The 13,503-nt window shown below is 38.3% G+C and overlaps 1 long non-coding RNA gene across 1 annotated transcript; it reads left to right on the top strand.

The window, feature by feature from the left end:
• Window positions 1–4,124: 4,124 nt before the first annotated feature.
• Window positions 4,125–10,576, top strand: LOC105372560 (uncharacterized). The gene is made up of 3 exons (XR_937331.3): window positions 4,125–4,377; window positions 7,531–7,598; window positions 9,981–10,576. It is a non-coding gene; the product is annotated as an uncharacterized LOC105372560 (long non-coding RNA).
• The last annotated feature ends 2,927 nt before the right edge of the window (window positions 10,577–13,503 follow it).

The raw sequence follows: 13,503 nt of genomic DNA on the forward strand, positions 1-13,503 counted from the left end.
TTTTTAATTGGGCTACTTATATTTTTGTTGTTGAATTAGGAAAAATTAGATTCATAGCTTAATTATGATGAATGTATTTATCATCTCAAAAATTATAAAAAAAGAGAAATATTATGAGGTCATATTTTACTTCATTGTTGAAATAATTGTTGAATAAATAGAATACATTTTTATTCAGCAAAGGGAGATTTTTTTGTGTGTAGCTTATTCTATATAAATTATATACTTCCATATTTAGTGGAATTCTCTTCTTTCACAGATATTTCTTTTAGACTCCCACTTTTAGCAAATAAAGTCAAGAAAAGTGTTTTCCCAGTATTTCTCCTCTCATCTTCTTCCTGCCTTCTGTTTGCTCATTTCTTCTTGCTGTGAAACGTCCGTGTTCCTGGCAGCAGGCTGTTTTCTGTTTGTTTTGGAGATGTACCCGCTGGCCTAGCGTGGGTAACATGAAAAATCTTACAGGCTCCTCTTAGCCCTGAAATGTCATCACCATGTCCTGTCCCCAAGCCATACAGCATCCAGCAGCCTCACTGGAAGTTGTAAAACAGCACTTACTTGGCACTGACCCTGTGCCAGGCATTAGCCTAAGTATTTTACAGACATTGATGCCTTTAATTCTTGTGATAACCCTATGTATGCTATTATTGTCCCCATTTTACAAATGTGGACACTGAGGCACAGAAAAAATAAGTAATTTTCCTGGTGTCATGCAGACAGTAAATGTGGAAGCTAGGGAGCCCGGCTGCCACTGCTTCTCAGCACAGCACCGGGCTGCCTTTGGGATAATTGTCATATTCCCTTTCTTGGCCTCAAGGGCTTCCATATCCAGTCTTCCCCACGAACCCCCAACAGCTTCAACACATGTCAACCACCCCCAGTTTAAAGCAAGTTGCCCAGAGGAATTTTTTGCGACTTTTGAGTCTTTTCATTTAAGAATATACTTTTATGCTCAAACATAAAATCTGGTAATAAGGTTATTATTATATCTATATCTCAGCTTCATCCAATTTGCTGTCGTCTCTCTTTATTATATACTTGATTGATGGACTGATGCACCATGGAGGCATTGCTGAATTGAAGAGAAGAGACATCGGGGTGGAATTAATCATGCAGCAGATTGCTACATAACTCTTATTTCCCATGAGATGAGAATCACAGTGATAAACCATGAAGACAGCTGTATGTGGCCTAAAACTAAGACCAGAATGCTCAAATAAGTTCCAATTTATCTTGTTTCCAGAGATAAATTAGTAGGAAGGGGTGAAAAGGAGAAATATTTGTGAATCATACAGTAGTCACAGCTATTGGTTGATGTCTAGGATATTAAAATGTGAAAGTATTACGACTAAAAATCCTCTGCTGTCTAATCTCTCACAGCTTATATTTGATGTTCCCTAAAATCACGGTGTCCAAAGACAGACCATGTTTTTCTAGAATTCCTGTAATGAAGATCTTTGCAAGATGCCGCAATTTTGAATGTCCCAAACCACAAAGAGGTTTCAGTTCTTCCTTTCAATCCCCAACCTTGAACTGAAGCCTCTGCAGAAAGCTCCCAGCTCACTAGTGTGGACAGGCAACTACTTGTGCTTCTATGAGAGAGAAAAAGTGAGCAGTTTCCAAGAGACAGAAAACACTGGCCCTGAGAATAAGGACCAAATGAGAAACCAGCAGTGCAAAAGACAGGAAAGAAGTCCAGGTGGAAGAAAAATGTCAATTTGTTAGAAGTGAGAAAGAACGAGAGAAGGTGCAGGCAGACACAATGAAGAGTTACAGGAAGGGTTAATCAGTGACTCAGCAATACGTGCTATTATTATTTGTCTTAAATAGATGAAGAAACTGAGGCACAGGGGAGAGGGAATGCAGGACCACTCAGCATGTGGCAGTGATGGAACGTGAAGAAACTACTACTCCAACACCCCACTATCCAGGATGACTTCCAGCACTACTGTTTTCACTGTTGTTCTAGATATAATAGCTGATTCTGTAAGGGAAGTCACAGTTATTATTATCTGCAGATGATATAACTGAATTTTCAGAAAGCCTGTAAAATCAGTTAAAAATTTAGACCTAATATTAACATAGGGTAATGTTGCCAAATCTCAAACCAATATAGCAAAGTTACATAGCTTTTCAAGTGCAAGCAATAATTTGTTCAAAGGCATAATTCAAAAGCAAGTATGAATCACATGACCAAAAAAGTCCCCCCAAAACAAGGAACAATTTTATGACTCAATGTGAAAAGGCAAAATATAAAATATCAAATTTACCTGAAGATTATAAAATCTTAGCAATTAGAAAGACATATCATGTGGTACCGAGGATAATATGGCACAATGTCAAATCTTCATGAAGAAATATAACAGTTTAATACTTTTAATCAAAATCTGATAAAATTTCTTTTGAAAGTATTAAAGAGCATTTTCTGGAAAAATAACAGGCAAAAATAGCCAAGACTTAAAAAGCTAAAACAAAAACCAAAAACGCTGGCTATGGCCCCTCCTTGCAGATATGAGATGTAACAGGAGTCATAGTAACAGTAGCTACTATTTATAATTGATCTGTGGCAAACACTGTTCTCTGTCTTTGGTGAGTTTTCCCATTTCTCCTCTTCCAACAACCTTATTCAGAAGAAGCTGTAGCTACCTGTTTTTGGCAGAGGCCAGAGAGTTTGAGCACCTTTTCACCAGCTCACCAACTCAATGGTGGACTTTAGCAAAGCATTATCTAATTTTAGTACCCACCTGCTTACCCACTATACTATAAACTACAAAAAGCAGAACAGCGTAGCATTTTTGCATAAATGGTGGATCAACAGACCAGAACTGGGAGCCCTGGAATGAATGTGTGTTAGAGGAACCATTGCCTGTCAAGGAATATGATATTATTCAAAGATGACTTACCTATTTGGAAAAATAAAACAAAGCATTCTCATATTATATGACATATTAAAATATATTCCACCTGGATTAAGGAGTTATCGAAAAAGTGAAACTAAAATTTAAAAAATAAAACCAGAAAAATACCTGAAAGTCTAATTTGTCTTCTGTTGGTGAAGGACTTTCTAAACATAAAAAAAATCACAAGGGAAAAGTAATAGGAAGATTTGACTACCTGGAATGTCAAAAAATTCTTAACTAAATTAAAAGATCATAAATTGGTTACGATTGCAACGAAATGTATATGCTTAATGTAGAAAGTGCTTATATGTGTGAAAGAGCTTATAATATATATCAAGCTTTGTAACATATATCAAAACTCTTGTCCTGTGATTTCTAATTCTTCTTCAAAGACTTTATATCCAGGAAAATCATCAGCAATGAGGCAAACGATAAAAAGGGTCTGCCCAGAAGGAAACTTTGTAACAGAAAAAGATGTGAAATAATCCAACTGCAGGAACCAACTCAATAGGGGGAGGATTGCCTAATTTTCAAGCATTTCTGATTCATTATGTCACCATTAGCATAGTATTCCCAAAACGCACTTCGTGACATGCAAAGATCCCAAGATAAAAATTTCACCTATGTGTACGTCTGCAAAAGAGAAAAACAATTGTCAGAATGAGCACTAAACCTTCATTGATGGTTATAGGAGGGAGTGGAATTATAGGACAGACTTAATTTTATGCTTTCTCTTCTCCAGTGATTTACTTTTGTACAGAAAATAAGCCATATTTATAATTAGAAAAAGAGGAAAACGTAACTGATTCAAAACTACATGTACAATATGAATTTTAGCTTACAAATTTATACATAGAGGTAAACATCAAAAACGGTCATAGTGATTATCTGAAGGGAAGCATTATAGATAATTTTCTACTTCCTTGTAATGAATTTTTATACTTTCTGAAGTCTAACATGTATTATTTCATTTTTCTAATAAGAAAAAATAAACAATGTGCCAATGTAAATACAAATCACAAAATAGTTCACCTTTCTGGCTGCCTGCTAGCAGATTTTTGTTTTATTTTACTGCATGTGTGGACAAGCCATTTCATGTACTTTTATCTCTGGTTTAAGTTATACAGAAGCCATTCTGTTTCCCTTTGTAAGTGTTTCATTTAAATGTCCAGGTGTATGTGGGTGTGGTGGAATTAGGAGGAAGAGCGCTTCGCCCCCATCAATTCTGCAGTTGCCGTGGCAGCTTAGCCGTGAGTGGGTCAGGTGGCCAAAGCAGAGGCCGACCCCCGCCAGCCGTTGCTGTCAGGCCCCCTCTCGCTCTCTGGTTCAGGAGAACGTCTCTAGAAGAGCGTCAGTTTGGGGCTGGATATTGTAAATCTTGATCCAAGGAACAGTCTCCAGATGGAGAATGGATAGAATTTCTCCCCCTTCTCTTGCACTAGGAGTAAGTGAGCGTCACTAGAAGCATCCAGATATGAAGGTAAGGACAGATTTCAATATAAACGTGATTGAAAGCACTTTGCTGAAGAGCTTAATATCAATGTTTGCATTTAAAAACATAATTTGCTGCCATTAATTGCTGCAGTTTCACATGATGTCAGCTGGAGACTGTTAGAGTTAAAGGACTGAGGCTTGTTGAATTCTTTAAACAGCAAGTGCAATAAAAATCAGGGTTGCTGCTTGGTAAAAGATGGGAATTTAAATTTCCCCAGCACTTGTCTCTCAGCATATCAAAAACCCCTTTTCTTGCAGAACATGTTTTCATTTTCATACCTCCTCACACCCGGGCTCTTTTTACTGACTTTTGTTTTCACACCATGCTAATTCATGTCTTACGTGCCTTTTTTTATTCTTCTGTGTGGCTGACAAACCTCAAAGTCAGTAGGTGGTCATGGAATTGTGCCCCAAATACTGTAAGAAAAGTAGGTGTAGAGCTGACATGTCTTAGGACAGGATCTTTCAGCACCAGATACAGGAGCTTCCAGATTGCAGAACACACACAGGTCATACCATCTATGCTGAGCCCTTGCTGGCCCCTGGCTCTGGCCTGAGCAGGTAGTGGCAGCCAGACAGCACCTGTGTTCCATAAGGTGGGCTTCCTCCCCTACCCAGGCTTGACTGAGCCATGTCTGCATGCTTGGCAGCCAAGGCAAGGCAGAATGTTTCCAAACATAACCTTCCATTGAACAAATCAGTTAGATTCTGTCTGCACAGTGGTATAACTGGCAGCTAGTCTCTGCAGGCTTCAACTGATACACCACTATGGCCAGCAGCCAGGCCTGGTTGGGCCAAGTCAGAAGTCTGGCTGAGGCTTCCAGCATCTGTGTGTGTTAATTCTGCATTTCGTGAACACCATCAGGAAAAGCCTGCTCATTTGGGATTGCTCATTAGTTGACAAAACAAATGTTTTGTTTTGTTTGCTGGTATGAGTTGGGTGCTAATTGCAAGCTAGAGATTTATATTTTAAAATCCACATACATGCATCTGCATATTCTTTTATAAATGATTTAAAGAGGGGTAAGAAGAGCTATTCAGAACCTGTTTCGGTTTGGGAAGATAAAGGATTGAATAGCAAATTATTTAGGCAGAATTCCACTCTGCTCCTTGCCAATACACAAAGTATTTTAAGCACTTTTACCCTTCACAAATCCTTACAGTATACCTGCCAAAGTGATAGAAAGTACAAGCCTTCCTGTTTTTTATGGAAAAAATGTAGGAAAAATAAGAGATGGAGGGGAATAAACAGTCATCGACTTTGAATCAGCTGAAAACGGGATGGTATTCTCAAACTTTTCTGTGCATAAGGGTTATGGAGAGCTTTTAAATATCCCCATGGCCTGGACACATCCAAGACCAATAAATCGCAATCTCAGTTATTCAAATTTGCAGGTAATTTCAATGGGTGGTAGCCAAGTTTGAGATTAAAGTAAAGAAGCAAGGTTCTGTAAACTTTTCAGGTGATCCCATCTTGCAAACGAGGAAAACTGCAATCTGCTTTTTCACAGCCATCGTGTGTTTCAGCAATTGCAAAATATTCTCAGACTATCTCTAGGAGTCCCTAGGACTCTGGTCACATCACCTCCTGCAGCAAGTTGACGGAAGGCCACTATACTTGGTGACTTTTCTCTCATGCATTCACTTTCACCTCCTAGAGCTTTCTTTTGGACCCAAGAACTGTGTCTTTTACTTCCAAGTTATTCTATATCTCATATATTAGATATGCGTTAATACCCACTCTTTATTCATAAGAGAGTGGATAGGTGAATTAATAAATCAATAAAAATAGTCACCTGATTTGTTATCAATTTATTTCAATTTAGTAAATCTTTGTTAAGTGCCTCCTGTGGACGTGGCCCCTAGTGTAGGCTCTGGGGATATAATTCTAAGCAAGAGATCCCCTGCAAATCTATGATGCCTCAAAGTTTTACCCAAGGACCACTCCATGCCCCGGCCCCTCATCTCTCCAGTAACAGGCATGTTAATTTCCCATTCTTTCCTCTGTTTTTCTAACATTCACTGGTTTCATCCCTGAATTCCCCCCATTGAAGGCTTTGGATCTGGAGAATAAAAGTGCGTTTAAAATTGAACCGGCTCCGGCGAACACGGTGCTGAAAGGGCTGCTTATTTTTAGCACATATGTTTTACACTAGGGCTACTTTTAGGAGTCTCTCTCCAACTGGGCTGGCTTCTGAGAGGGGAGTACTTATTCAGAGAGGAATAGAACTTAATATAAACATTCCTCCATCCAGAAAAAAAAAGTTAACTGACACTGGGGGCAAAAGCCTGGTCTCCAGCTGTCTATAAAACTGGCTGTTCCAATATCTGAACTCACAGAATCCCTCCCCCAACTGGGAGTTAATTTGGAGTTTGAGTTGAAAACATGTTCAAAGTTTTGCCCTAAATCAGTCAGCCAACAGGTATTTCTGTGCCTGTCCTTCGAGCCCTGTGCTGTACACTTAAATTTTATTTCTTAGGAGCCAAAAAAAAAAAAAAAAAAAGATGAAATCTATAGAACTGATTCATAGGTCGCAACAAAATGCACAGGTTGGTGCTCAGTTTCTTCCTGGCTCCTTATCTTTCTCCAGATCCTCTTTCCTTAAGAGAACTTTGCCGTGATTCTGCAGGTGTTTTATTTGGCAATAGAGAGATGATTATTTGAGATGATACATTAAAGTGGGACGTTAATTTAGTAAAAATGTTTTCAAAAGGTCTTGACACAGATTTGCTATGTGTTGCCCAAGTGAAAGTCAAAGATTTGCCTAATCACGGCTTTGAAGAAAATGCCTCTGTCTGAAATCCAGGCAGATTGTTTATGAGCTGACCTAAGTGCCAGCATAGATTTCCAAGGAGCGAAATGCCACCAGTTCTAAAATGCAGGGTTGAGAATACTGTTAGCAAAGGTTGGTGTTTAATTCTGTCTTATTGTCCATAATGATACCGTGGTAGCATGGGTTATCTATGTTATTATTATACCTCTTCAAGCCTGTCTTAAAACCGCCCCATCCAGGAAGTTCCAGGTTAGGAAAGCGTCTTCTTTTTAAACTAAGCCTTTGGGCTTAAGATATTGTCGAGATCTGCGAACTGTGAGTAATGGCTCATTCTTCTCCATGTGTATCTTGATTTTTTGACACAGGCTTCAAATCCTACCTAAACTGCAGACCAATCTCTGAAAGCAACTTTGTTCAATTGCAGCCTGACTAGGTAAGGCTTTGAGAATTTGTTTCTGTTTTAAATCCTACAGGATAAAAGAGGTGGAGGGTGGTCTATAATAGGATGAAGTGGTATATAATAAGTATTTAACTTAAAAGAAAATCTACCATTTAAAACTGTAACTAGATTATTTCAAAAATAATGATATAACTTGAAGACTAAACGACTAGTGTTGACCTTTGACAATATCTGTATAGAAATATAGCATGTGTACAATGTATAATATGTCATTACGGTTCATAATAGTTTCAATTTCCACAAATTCTTCTTGGAGAACTCCAGAATGTCTGGTGTTAACTTATACACCACAGAGGGCTCTTTGAATGAATATATAAACTGTATAAAGTGCCCAGAAGTGCAGGGGGTTCAAAAATAGTAAGGATGTCTTTAATAATTTTGCTTCATAACAACTGTCTTGGAATAATTTTTATTTACCTAAAAATAATGTAAGAGTATGTCAAAGTTTAGGCATAGTGTTTATTAAATGCATAGTTTGTATCAATGCTTGTAAGCTGTAATTAGGAATGATATGTGGCATTATATTTTACTTTTGTTAATGTTCACTGTTAACTTCCTGAAATGTAAGCTGTGCTCACGTGAAAAAAAAAAATGGATCAGTTTTTCTGAGAAGACACTGTAACACAAAAAGACCTACAGGATAGTATTTGAATAGTTAATTTTAATGCAAACAAAAACTTCTATTTCAGCATTAAGAACACATATTCTTGATATAAGAAATAGAAAATATTCTAGCACATACCTGACACTGGTAAAATATATGTATTCTTTTTCCCTACAACACTACATATATTTCACACTACATATATATTAGCTTTTAACTATTGAGTCAAACATAGTTTAAAGTACTATAATATTTCCAAATTACAAAGAAAATAATTTTTAAAATTTCTCTGACAGAAGCAAACAAAACAATATTTTTCTTAATTTCTTTAAAATTTCTCCAGGAATTTATACTTTTGAAAACTCATTGACTTCTGGATTTTTAAAAAATAATATAAACATTTAAGAAGCTACCAAAATATGCGAAGCCTGAATGTATGTTATATTTATATTTCTTTTTTATAGTTTTGAATGATTATTCACTTCATGGGCAATATAAATTTAGGAGTCTCACACATATTACATGAAAAGTGATTTTTAAATTTATTCTGTTTTTAAAAATTAACTGAATTTTTAAAAATTGACAAATAATTGTGTGTATGCGTGGGGTATATAGTGATGTTTTGAAACATATAATGCATACTGAACAGATCAGAGTAATTAGCATAGACATCATCATTTATCATTTCTTTGTTTTGGGAGTATTCAATTTCCTCCTATTAGCTATTTAAAACTATACAATACTTTACTGTTACCTATAGTCATCCTGTAGTGCTAGAGATCACTAGAACTTATTCCTCCTATCTGGCTGTAATTTTTATCCTTAAAAACAGAAGATATGGAATATCTTCTATATGTATCTAATCTAGAGTTAATGTAAGTTTGTGTAATCGAGCAATTCTGTGGGTTTAACTCCCAAAGCCAGATTTTAAACTCTGCTTTTCCCAAGCCCCTAAATCCTATCTTCAACTCAGCTGCAAATATGTCCCAAGAAAACAAGGCTGTGAGACTGAGTTAAAAAGTCAAAGGAAAGTTCTTTAGAGCCATTTAGCAATCTTAAAGATGAACAATAGAGTGTAAGTACCTGTATTTATTGTTCTCCAGTATAAGAATGTTAGAAAGTAAAAGTGGAGTGGTAATTTTGAATAATAACCAATTTAATTAAAATTTAAATCTTTGGTGTTTGAGAATTTTTTTTCTTTTAAGTCTAAAAAAGTTTCCTGACACAAAGCCTATTCTTGTCAAGGTGACACTTAAGTTATTGTTTTGAAATGGTGAAGAGGGGAGAGAAACTGCTGTAGAAAGGGGTTGATAAAAAATACAGCCATCACTTTCCAACCAAAAGAAAGCAATGATTAAAGCTATAATGTCAGCAATTACAGTGTGTCCAAACAATATTTAAAATTGAGATGGGCCTCTCAGGTTTGAAACTGTGTGTGTGACTGTGGGAGTAAATAGTCTAGTTTCCCACTCTTCATGTGTAAATAGACACAAACAGGTGACTTTTCAGAGCCTGGGACAGAGAAGACGACCCCCCAGTGGAGACGACTGAACAGGCCCCTCATGCATACAGCATGCCACCAGTATTGCCCAGAAATACTGTTTGTAGAAAATCGGAAAGGTAGCCGGGCCCGGCATTAATGCTAGGGTGTCTGAGATGAGTCGAAGGAACAGCTATTCTTTTTCCCTTTGTTATGTTTCTTCCATTTCCAAGTGGATGAAGCTCTAACTCAACCTTTCATTTGTTTCAAGAGGGAGGTATCAGAACCACAACAAATGGAATGAAACCTACCACTACCACCTGCCTGGCACAAAGAAATAATTTACAATTCACGGGGAATTTCCTGTGTTTCATTTTGTCTGAAGAACTGTAACTGGACTTGAATGAACTAAGTGTCTAATTGTTGCATTATTTTTCTTGTAGAGATTTTAGTGTTTTATTACTTTCTCCAGTTTACTTCAATAGTGAATTAGGTTCCCTCTACCATCTGAAATGTTACAGTTCGATAAAATAGGTAAATTAATAAAGTCTAAAGTGCTTCCAAGCTGAGCAGAGACCTTTCTGTGCGCTGTGCTTTTATTGCTCTTCCCAGCTGATATTTATAACTGGGCCATATGTGGTTATAAAGATTTATTATGAGCCTGTGGAATAAGTTCTGTTAATGTGTACAGTAAATGTCCAAGTTTTGACTCTGTAAGCCTTGGAGATTTCTAATAAGATGAAGCCATTTTGATCATGAGCCAAGCAGTGTGCACTTGGAGCCAGGCCTCGTATTGACAAAGGGCTTAGCTATGTGCTGTAGACTCTACCCACTCTCTGTGTGGGTTTGCTAAAAATGTTTGCAAAGCTCAGGTAGGTATTTTTCTTCCTCATCACCATCGTCATCTGAGAGGGGTTGAAGTTGGAGAATCTACTGACTAAAAGTTGAAATGGAAAATTTTAAGACTACAAATAAAGATCAGACTAAAGGCAAGGCAGAGCCGCCCTGGGAGTACAGTGAATGGGGCATCTGTGTCCCACTCGGGCGCCGATCGCCTTGTCCAGCTACTGAACAGTTACTTTGAGTGCATCAGGAGGGAGAAAATTACAGGCACAGCTGGCATGAATCCACTCCCCATCCATGGCCAGTGCAAAGGAGACAAGACACTGTCTCTTCACTTTTATACACTTACTTCATTTTGTGAAACTTCTCTTGCCCTTACTATATGTGCATATTGTTCAAGTGAATACCTGCCAGTTTTAGAAGAGAAAGGGTTAGTCTGTTCTTGGCTGCTACATCAAAATACCATAACCTGGGGGCTTATAAACAATGGAAATTTATTTATCACAGTTCTGGAGGCTGGGAAGTCCAAGATCCAGAGGCCAGCAGGTCCAGTGTCTGGTGTGGGCCTGATTCCTGCTTCATAGATTGCATCTTTTTGCTGTGTCCTCATATAGTAGAAACAACAAATGAGTTCTCTGGGGTCTCTTTCATAAGGGTACTAATCCCATTCATGAGGCTGCACCGTCATGACCGAATCACCTCCCAAAAGCCCACCTCCTAATACCATCACCTTAGGGCTGAAGATTTTAACATATGAATTTTGTAGGAGCATAAAAATTTTGTGAGGACATAAAAATTGTTTTATTTAGAGCCCATAGCAGTCTCTCAATAAAACAATAGAGTAGGACAGTGTCAAAAGCTTTGTAATGTGTTTCTCAACCTCGAGAGCATTACAATCACTTGGGGAACTCTTTAAAAATACTAAAAATACACAGTTTATCCCCCCTTCCCCTTCCTTGAGTTCTACCTGGGTATAGTTTTGTTTTTGTTTTGGAAGTTCTTCAAGAGCTTCTAATCGGCAAAACCACTGGTCTAAGAACCTCTTCTAGTTCTGACCCAAGAGTTAGAGAAGTGACTTTTCATGGATGTCACATGAGGGAAAACCCAGGGCCAGACCTTGTCGTGAGGTTCCTGCACAGCACATTTCCCCTTTTCTGCATCCCCTTCTCAGGTGCTCATAACTCCCTGAAGGTCCAGAGCCTTCTGCCATGAAGGGCAGCTCTACTTGAATAAAAATCTACAGACTGAACTTTTCCCTCCAGTCTTTTTTCCCGCAGATCTGCGAGATGCCATATTAGATTGGTCCTGATTAATTAATCCAAAAGTATTTCTATTTAAAAACAAAAAAATTAAGTTTTTTTTTTTTTTGAAACCGGGTACACAGGCTGGAATCCAGTGGTGTGATCACAACTCACTGCAACCTCAACCTTCCGGGCTCAAGTGACCCTCCCACCTCAGCCTACTGAGTAGCTGAGACTACAGGTATATGCCATCATGCCTGGCTAATTTTTGTATTTTTTGTAGAGATAGGATTTCGCTATGTTGCCCAGGCTGGTCTTGAACTACTGGGCTCAAGCAATCTGCCTGTTTCGGCCTCCTAAAGTCCTGGGATTACAGGCATGAGCCACTGTGCTCAGCCCAAAAACATTCCTATATGATAATTTAATATATGAGTCTAATGTCATTAACATGAAATAATTTTTATATCTATCCAAAGTGAGCAATTGATAAAGAATTTCAGATATTCAATAATCCTAGACTGATTGACACCAGATAAATTCTAATAATCTTTCTGGCTGTACCTTTTCACCAGTTATCAAATGATTATCCATCGTTTGAATAGAACATTCAGGGAGGATCCTAGTCATAGTTGGACAGTCTGATACTTCCTGTGAATTTTCTTTCCAAGACTTGTCTCAGATCCATCCATCCTCCCCATTTCCACTGCCATTGTCCCCTGTCCAGGTCCCTGTCCTCTCTAGAGTAAATTATCAAGGTTCTACTACATCCTCCTGCAGTACCAGGCTCCATGTGAGGTTTGTCACCAGCTTACGTTGGCCTCCACTTAAAGCCTTTCAATGACTTTCCATTGCCCTAAAAATAAAATCCAAACTCCTGGCCATGCCACGGACATTGTCAGATCTTCTCAACCCCATTTGAAACTGCTCCCTGGTCTCAAGCACGTGTCCGTTCTTCTCTCAGCTTCCTGATCAGCCCAAGCTTTCTCCCACTGGAGCTTCTGTCCATGCTGTTACTTCTGCCGAGCATGCTTTCTGCCCATGTTTTAGCCTTCACATCTCTGATTAATTGCAACCTCTTCAATAGTACTCTGTGGTTACTCTGCCTAATGCAATCCACCCCTTTACCATCTCTATCTCAGCCTGTGGTTTGCTCCTTCATAACACTTCCATTTGCAATCATTCTATTCATTTTCTTTATTTGGCCGTTCTCTGCTTGTTTCCTCCACTGGGATGGAAGTCCCTTCACTTCAGGTACCAAGGCCTTCACCATTTTATTCACAGTGCCTAAAACATGCCTGGCATGTAGATGGTACTCAAACACAAATGTTAAATGATGGAAGAAATAAAAAAGAAAAAGATCTTTCTTTTCTCCTGGCCTTTAACTTGGCAGGCTTTATCTGCTCTTCAGAGTCACTGAGATGAGAACCAGGTGGCAAACTCTGCTTTCCTTCTCCTCCAGGCAACGCAGAGGCATTCTTAACTCTTAACCTGCAGACTTTGAAACTAGGCACAGAACTCCAGAGGGGATAATAACACCAGCAAATGTTTAGCTAAAAAATTTAGCCATACATGCCACACATTGTGCTACACATTGAGCTCTTTGGTCCTCACATCAACGCTGAATTAGGAGCTATGATTATCCCCATTCTTTAGATTAGTAAGCTGGGTATCACCAAGGAGAAGTACTTGCCCCAAAGTCACATGGCTCAT

Source organism: Homo sapiens, chromosome 20, assembly GCF_000001405.40.
Source record: "Homo sapiens chromosome 20, GRCh38.p14 Primary Assembly".
NCBI lineage: Eukaryota > Metazoa > Chordata > Mammalia > Primates > Hominidae > Homo > Homo sapiens.